Genomic DNA, 8,057 nt, shown 5'->3' on the forward strand with positions numbered 1-8,057 from the left:
TTTATCTGTACGGATTGCATTCCATGTCTGTCTGTCCCTTCCTTCCTTCCCTTCCGTCCTTCCTTCCTTCCTGCCTGCCTGCCTGCCTGCCTTCCTTCCTTCCTTCCTTCCTTCCTTCCTTCCTTCCTTCCTTCCTTCCTTCCTTTCTTTCTTCCTTTCATTCTTTCTTTCTTTCTTTCTTTCTTTTTTGACAGAGTCTCTGTCGCTGGGGCTGGAGTGCAGTGGTACGATCTCTGCTCACTGCGACCTCCACCTCCCAGGTTTCAGTGATTCTCCTGCCTCAGCCTCCGCTGGGATTACAGGCACCTGCCCCAAGGCCAGCTAACTTTTGTATTTTTAGTAGAGATGGGGTTTCACCATGCTGGCCAGGCAGGTCTCAATCTCCTGACCTCAAGTGATCTGCCTGCCTTGGCCTCCAAAAGTGTTGGGATACAGGAGTGAGCTACTGTGCCCAGCTTTGCATTCCATTTCAAAACAGCGATTCACAGCTGTCTCCATAGATTAGGTAGATTAGGGCAGCCTCCCTGGGCTTGCTTATATGAGCTGTGGGGCTAGTTGCCAGGATCTCAGGCTTTTATCAAAATGCTACCCTACCTCGCCCACAATTCCTTCTCTCACCACAACTAATTACCATCCTAGCCCCTTGTTATCTTGTTCCTCCTATCTTCTGATCCAATCAATATTTTCACTTATGTCTTGTCGGCTTATTTTTGTTCATACTTTGAGGTCAGCTTTGCCCATGAAATGTTGAATAAAATCTTATCTCATTGGCTCAGTGTCCACTCATTCTTGCCCCCCGAGCTGTCTACTGAAGGAGCCTAGTGAATATCACCCCCAAATATGGCACCTTGGTTCGCTGATTGTAAAGACACTTGGGGTTCAGCAAAAGGGTGGATGAGGTTGTTCTCTAAAGTTCTCTCATCTACCTAGAGACCAGGTCTTCCATAGAAGAAGACAATTGCTTTTGATGTCTTTCCTGCAATTTTATTAACCAGGGAAGGTTAAACTCATATCACAGGAAGAAAGACTGAGGAATGTCATCACACCTAGGCAGGCTTTGTCGTAAGCTATTGTCTGTTTTTACCATTAACTTTCCAATGAAAATTTATAAACTATTGTCTGTTCTTGGGGCCCATTTTACTCTTTAAAAATAATTTACTACCCATCTAAAATTGCCTACATCCCCTACTTTCCTCTCCCCTATGAAGAAGGGTATACAACCTTCTAACCTCATTGGATTATTGGGTACTTACTTCCTGTGATGCTCCTGTGCACATTAATAAATCTGTATGATTTTTCTCCTGTGGATGTCTTTTGCCACTTTATTTCAACAGACTTAAAGACTCCAACCTTCAAGGTGGGAGGGAAAAACTCCCTTTGCCCTCATGCTCTGTAATGCTCAGGACCATGTCTGCCACAATTTTGGGCCTTAGCTGACTCCACTGCACTTGCCCCCCTACCCCCAGCTCGCATGCCTGACTTACAGAATCTGTCTTTTCACCTTTGAGTCTGTCCTGCCTAAACCAACTTTTCCTTTGGGTCCATGTAGAGACACACTTGATTCAAATCCCGACGATGCCACTTTCTAGCTGTGTAGCATTGTGTAACTTCTCAAAGCTTTATTTTCATAATCTGTAAAATGAGGGTAGTAACAGTAACTACCTTATAGGTTATGTGGATTAAATGAGATAGTGCCCCGTCAATCTTCACTATATATTAGTTATAATCATTTTTTTTTTCTTTGAGACAGGGTCTCATTCTGTCACCCAGGCTGGAGTGCAGGTGTGTGATCATAGCTCACTGCAGCCCCGACCTCCCAGGCTCAAGTGATCCTCCGCCTCAGCCCCACCTGAATAGCTGGGACTACAGGCACGTGCCACTACACCCAGCTAATTTTTTGTATTTTTAGTAGAGACGGGGTTTTGCCATATTGCCCAGGCTAGTTTTGAACTCCTGAGCTCAAGTGACCCTCCTGCCTTGGCCTCCCAAGGTTCTGGGATTACAGGCGTGAGCCACCCTGCCCAGCTACTATGTGTTAGTTATAACCATTATTGGTGTTTTTAGTTATAATAATTATTAGTTAGATGTACCATATGTGTTAGGTGTAATAATTATAATTCGTGACCTGAGAAGACTGGATAAAACACATTAGTATATTAGTACCTATAGCTTTGAATAAATAGTTCTGAGTAATACATGAGGTATGTGATTAACAAAGACAAGTTTTAGGGAATACTACATTGTTGCAAATGAGAGCACCTTGTGGTACAAGGAGGCTGGAGTGATAGCTTGTGGTCTTTTGGGGTCGTAGCAGGCTCAGGCTGCAATGGGTTCTATCTGCAGAATTAATACCCACTTTGGAAGGGACTTTTTGTGTTGTCTTTAGCTGAGTTCAAGTGTCCAGGCTTTTGAGCTTCCTGCCAAAAACTCATGAACTTTTAAAGTCCCTTGTTTATTGCTTCAGTGCTCTGTGATATCAGAGGCTAACCCACGATTGATAGCAAAAGATATGTAAAATTGATACATCACCACTACCTCCATCATCATCCCCAATCAACATAATCTACTTCTCTTACTATTTCTGCTTCATCACCTTCACTGCTGTTGTCATAATCATCACCATCCTCTTCCTCCTCATCACTGCCTCCTCTTTTTCTTCCTCCTCTTCCTTTACCTCTTCTTTTTCTTTTCACCCTTTCCCTCCTCCTTTCCACATGGTCCACTTTTATCATGGGATGCTTTTCTGTACCCTGTCCCCTGATATGAGGAATAAGGATGCATGCTTATGAGCACTCCATGAATGACGTTGTATCTTTATGGAACATGGAACTCAGAGACACTTTATAAAATTAACTCTTTGGCCAGGCGTGGTGGCTCACAAATGTAATCCCAGCACTTTGGGAGGCCGAGGTGCATGTATCACCTGAGGTCAGGAGTTCGAGACCAGCCTGGCAACATGGTGAAACCCAGTCTCCACTAAAAATACAAAAATTAGACGGGCACGGTGGTGCATGCCTGTAATCCCAGCTACTTGAGAGGCTGAGGCAGGAGAACCACTTGAACCCAGGAGGCTGAGGTTGCAGTGAGCTGAGATCACACCACTGCACTCCAGCCTGGGCAACAGAGCTGAGACTCTGTCTCAAAACAAACAAACACTCTTCACCTTCACCATCTTTCTAAAGGGAAAGATTTGCATCTGAGCTCTCGTATGTTTGTTTTCACCAAAAAGTAATTGGAGGTGACAGCTGCTTATGCTTTCATTTATCTTTTGACCCGAAGCCAGAAAGGTTTTTCTTAGCAGTGGTAGGTGCAATTTGCTGCTACCTTTGGCTATATATTTTTTCAGTTGTTAATGATAAAACTACACAAGAAATTCATGAACACATTCTTTTGGTAAAAGACTTAAGTGAGACCGATGTACATATAATGTGAGTCTTCATTCAAATCCCTTCATCTCTGAGTGCATCCCATCCCCAGAGGTAACCATTGTTAACAGGTTGACATGGATGCTTCCAGTCTCATTTCTTTTAACATGCATGCATATATCTCTATATATTTTTCTATAATCAACATATTATTTTTAATATGTTTATTGAGGAATAATTGACCTATAATAAATAAACTACATAAAATGTATGATTTGATGTTTTAATTTGCATTTCCCTGGTGATCAGTGATGTTGAGCGTTTCTTCATGTTTCTTGGTCATTTGCATATCTTCTTCTGAGGAATATCTGTTCATACCATTTACTCACTTTTTAATGGGATTATTTGCTTTTTTTTCTTGCTGATTTGCTCGAGTTCCTTGTAGATTCTGGATATTAGTCCTTTGTCAGATATATAGTTTGAGAATATTTTCTCTCATTCTGCAGATTGTCTACTTACGCTGTTGATTGTTTCTTTTGCTGTGCACAAGCTTTTTAGTTTAATTAAATCCCACTTATTTATTTATTTTTTGCATTTGCTTTTAGGGTCTTTGTCATAAATTCTTTGCCCTGGGTCAATGTTCAGAAGAGTTTTTTCCTGCATTTTCTTCTAAGATTTTCATGGTTTTAGGGCTTCCATTTAAGTCTTGAACCTATCTTGAGTTAATTTTTGTATATGGTAAGAGATGAGGATCCAGTTTCAGTCTTCTGCACGTGGCTATCCAGTTTTCCTAGCACCATTCATTGAATAGGGTATCCTTTCCCCAGCGTATGTTTTTGTCTGCTTTGTTGAAGATAACTTGGTTGTAGCTACTTGGCTTTATTTCTGGGGTTCAAGGCATGAAACAAAATTCATTTTATTTTATTAATATTAGCTTTTGCATATGAATATCCAGTTCAGCAGCATTCATTGAAAAGACTGTCCTTTTTCCCCCCAGTTGCTCTTGTAACCTCGTTGAAAATCAGTTGCTAAAATGTGCAGATCTATCTCTGGACTCACCATTCTGTTCCATTGGTTTATTATGCCAATACCATACTATCTTAATTATTATGGCTTTATAAGAAGTCTTGAAATTAGATAGTCCTTTAGTGACTTTTTTCCATGTTATTCTGGTTATTTGAAGTCCTTTCCATTTCCATATGAATTACAGAATCAGTTTGTCAATTTCTACATAAAAATCCTGCTGGGATTTTGAATGGGATTGCGTTAAATCTACAGATAAATTTGGGGTGAATTTACATCTTAAAGATACTGAATTTTTCAACCCACAAACACTATATGTCTCGCCATTTCTTTTCTTTAATTTCTCTTAACAAAGTTTTGTAGTTTTCTGTGTACAGATCTTCCACATATTTTTCAGACTTAAGAATTTCATTTCTTTATGGTATTATAAATGCTATAAAAGTCCAATTGTTCATTGCTGGTATATCAAAATACACATGATTTTTGTTGTTGGTCTTACACACAGCAACTTTGCCAAGCACACTTATTAGTTCTAGTTCGCTTTTCTGTAGATTCTGTCAGATTTTCTTTTTCTTTTTCTTTCTTTTCTTTTTTTTTGAGACGGATTCTCACTTGTCGTCCAGGCTGGAGTGCAGTGGCGTGATCTTGGCTTACTGCAAGCTCCACCTCCCGGGTTCACACCATTCTCCTGCCAATGCCTCCCGAGTAGCTGGGGCTACAGGTGCCAGCCACCACGCCCGGCTAATTTTTAAATAGAGACCGGGTTTCACCGTGTTAGCCAGGTTAGTCTCAATCTCCTAACCTCGTGGTCCGCATGCCTCGGCCTCCCAAAGTGCTGGGATTACAGCCGTGAGCCACTGTGCCCGGCCGATTCTGTCAGATTTTCTACATAGACAATCATGTCATTTGTGAAGAAAGGCAGTTTAAATTTTTTGTTTCCAATCTCAATGCCCTTTGTTGTTTTTCTTTGCCTTACAGTACTGTCTAGAACTTCCATTTTAATACTGAATGGAAGTGGTGACAGTGAATATTTTTGCTTTGCCATGATCTTAGAGGTAAAACATTCCATCTTTAACCATTATGTATCATGTTAGCTGTAGATTTTTGTAATGCTTTTAATCAGGCTAAGGAAGCTCCATTCTATTCCTAGTTTGCTAAATTTTGTTTTCTTAAATCAGGAATGGATGTTGGATTTTGTAAGTGCCTTTTCACTGTCTACTGAGATCATAATTTTTCTTTCCTTTTTAGTTTAGTTTTTTTCTTTCATTTTTCTTTCTTTTTTTTTAACATAGATTGATTTTTGAATGTTGAATCAATCTTGCACTCCTGGGAAAACCTCATTTGGTCATGATGTACTATCTTAATTATATATTTTTGAATTAAATGTACTGAAATTTTCTTAAGAATTTTTGCATCTATGTTCATGAGAGGTATTGGTCTATTGATTTTTCTTATGCGTTTGCCTGGTTTTGCTGTTAAGATGACGTTGGCCTCATGGAGTCAATTGTGAAGTATGTTCTCCTCTTTAATATTCTAGAAGAGTTTGTGTAGGCTTACTATTATTTTTCTTAAATTTTTGATAGTATTCACTATTAAAGACATTTAGGCCTAGCATTTGTTTTTGTGTTTTTTTTTTTTGTTGTTTTGGTGGCAAAGTTTCTAACTATAATTACACTTTCGTTCATAGATTTAGGGCTATTAAAATTGTCTATTTATTCTTAAGTAAGCTTTAGTAGTTTGTTTTATCAAGAAATTTGTCTATTTCATCTAAATTGTCAGATCAATTGGCATAAATTTATTCATACTGTTTCCATAATTATTTTTTAAATATCTGTAGTCTCGTTAGTAATTTTACCTCTTTCGTTCCTGATATTTATTTGCATCTTTTCTCTTTTGTCTAACTAGAGGTTTATCAATTTTATCAATCTTTTCAAAAGAACAAGGTTTTGGTTCCATTGAATTTTTTTCTATTTTTCAGTTTTCTATTTCATTAATTTTCATTTTGATTTTTATGAGTTTCTTTCTTATGCTACTTACTTTGAATGTAATTTGCTTTTTTTGTTAGCTTTTTGTTTTTTTTAATCTTACTCTGTCACCCAGGCTGGAGTGCAGTGGTGCAGTCTCAGCTCACTGCAACCTCTGCCTCCTGGGTTCAAGTGATTCTCCTGCTTCAGCCTCCTGAGTAGCTGGGATTATAGGTGGGTGCCACCATGCCCAGCTAATTTTTGTATTTTTAGTTGAGACAGGGTTTCACCATATTGGTCAGGCGGTTTTGAACTCCTGACCTTGTGATCCACCCACCTCAGCTCCCAAAATACTGGGATTGCAGGTGTGAGCCACAGTGCCCAGTCTTTTGTTAGTTTTTTAAGGTGGAAGCTAACTATGCCAGACAGTTCTAAATACTTTATACTCATAATCTCACTTAATGTCTACAATAATACTTTAGAGGTAAGCATTGCATTATTACTCCCATTTCATAAATGATGAAAATTGAGGTTAAAAAAGTTGGTACAATTCAATTGTGGGGTTGGCACCTAGACTTGTCTGATTTGGAATACTATTCTAACTGCTTCAGTATTTTTTCTCTCTACTTACAAGCAGCCGTATGCCTGGGCATTTTCCAAACCTATGTAATAAAGATTTCAACCTCTCTCTCTGTGAAAAAACAAACAAACAAACAAAAAAAAAACTGTTATTCTTAGAGGACATAAATTCAATATTCACCTGCCTGAAGGAAGATGCATACTTAAAGTTTTTATGTTAGGTTCCTTCTGTATTTTTGAGGATTCTAGCACACTTGAAAGGTTTGAAATTTAATATCTCATTGTAAAGTATGTATATTTTCTATCTTGCCTCCTTTAAAGCTTGTGTGTGTGTGTGTGTGTGTGTGTGTGTGTGTATACGTCTTGGGCCTTCCACTGATTTGCTATCTCTTGATGGAAACTAACTCACTAGAGTTCATAATCTTTAGTTGAACTAAGCCATCAGCCTAATTTTTGAGATTACAATAGTGTGATCCCTTAGCTTTTTCCCCCTGAATTCTCCTAATCTTTCTCCCTCTTTATACATCCCAGTTGCATGGAAATCTGCTGTTAGGGAGGTATTTGATACCAATAACTTAATTCATGGGGTATGTTTTCCTACGTGCATTGCCTGGTAGAGGGGATTAGAATAAGGCATGTCAATCTATTAAAGAGATCTCAGATCGACCAAAGTGGAAGGGAATTTTCTAAAATTATCTGTGATCAGGGTATAAAGTTAGAGGGGTAAAGCCCACCCCACCCAATATGTCCCTTCTTTGAGAACTTCTGCCTCCATCCCACAGGGATGGGATCAGAAAGCCATGTTGGAACCATGCAATTTTGCTTCTGTGCCATGACTTATTGAACCAGGGCTGAACACTTGACCCTAAATAGCGCAGTGATATTAAATGGACCAGTGATATTCTTTCTCCTAGGAACTTGGAACTGGATTTAGAGTTATGATTTATTTCCTGCTGGTTATTTTGAAACAAGAATATGCAAATTTGGGAGATATGGGGCAGCCATATTTGACTGTTTGCTCTCCAAGTTAGCAAAAGCCAATCTGGGAGACGAAATAAAGTGGACACATGGAAGAGACAAAAGGCCATCTGGCCCCAAAAAGGGAGTGACAAAGGGAGAGAAGGAG

Source organism: Homo sapiens, chromosome 16, assembly GCF_000001405.40.
Source record: "Homo sapiens chromosome 16, GRCh38.p14 Primary Assembly".
NCBI classification, from domain to species: Eukaryota; Metazoa; Chordata; class Mammalia; order Primates; family Hominidae; genus Homo; species Homo sapiens.